We start from the raw sequence: 1,330 nt of genomic DNA, 5'->3' as shown, positions 1-1,330 counted from the left end.
GTAGAGATGGGGTTTCACCATATTGGCCAGGCTGGTCTTGAACTCCTGACCTCATGATCCACCCACCTCGGCCTCCCAAAGTGCTGAGATTACAGGCGTGAGCCACCATGCCCGGCCAACTCATGTTGAAATCTAATTGCCATTGTGGTGGTATTGGGAGGTGAGACCTTTAAGAGGTCTTTAAGTCATGAGAATTTTGCCCTTATGAAGCAATTAATGCCAGTATTGTGGGAGTAGATTCATTCCCTATTACTCTCTCTCTGCCTCTCTTTGCCCTTCTGCCATGTGATGCCTTCCACCATGTGATGATGCATTAAGAAGGCCCTTGCCAGATGCCAGCCCCTTGTTCTTGGACTTCCCAGCCTCCAGAACTGTTAGCCAGTAAACTTCTCTTCATTACAAATTACCCCGACTGTGGTACTCCATTATAGCAGCACAAAACAGACTAAGACAAATCTGAAAATATTTTTCTCATTTTGAAGTTTGTCTTTTCACTCAAGTTGATAGTGGCATTTAATGCAGAAAAGGTTTTATGGTAATTTTTTGTTTTTTAAGACAGGGTCTTACTCTGTCACCTAGGCTGGAGTGCAGTGGTGCGATCTCAGCTCACTGCAACCTCAACCTCCTGGGTTGAAGCAGTTCTCACAATTCTCATGCCTCAGCCTCCCAAGAAGCTGCAATTACAGGCAAGCACCACCACCTCCAGCTAATTTTTGTATTTTTAGTAGAGATGGGGTTTCACCCCCGTCATGAGCCAGCCCTCCCAGCCAGTAGAAAATGTTTTAATTTCGATGGAGTTCAATTTATCTAGTTTCCTTTTGTTGCTTGTGTTTTTGATGTCACACATAAGAATTCACTGCCGAATCCAAGGTCATGAAAATTTATCTCTATCTTTTCTTCTAAGAGCTTTATAATTTTAGCTCTTATAGTTATGTCTTTGATCCATTTTGAGTTATTTTTGGTATATGGCATAAGGAAAGTGTTCAACTTTGTTATTCTGTGTGTGGATATCCAGTTTTCCTAGCACAATTTGTTGAAGAAAGTATCTTTCTATAGTGAATGGTCTTAATACCTCTTTTAAAAATAAATTGATCATAGATATGTGTTTATTTCTATACTCTAAATTCTACCCCATTGATCTATCTTTATGCTGGCAAGAAGTTTTGTTTTACTTTTTATTTTCTATTGATACATAATAGTCAAATGTATTTTTGGAAGATGGGATTTTTGATACCCTCATATAATACGTAATGATCCAATCGGGACAATTGGGAGATCCAACACCTCAAATATTTCTTTATTCTGGGAACATCTGAATTCTTCTCTTCTG

Source organism: Homo sapiens, chromosome 17 (genome assembly GCF_000001405.40).
Source record: "Homo sapiens chromosome 17, GRCh38.p14 Primary Assembly".
Taxonomy (NCBI): Eukaryota; Metazoa; Chordata; class Mammalia; order Primates; family Hominidae; genus Homo; species Homo sapiens.
This window is presented reverse-complemented; position numbering follows the sequence as displayed.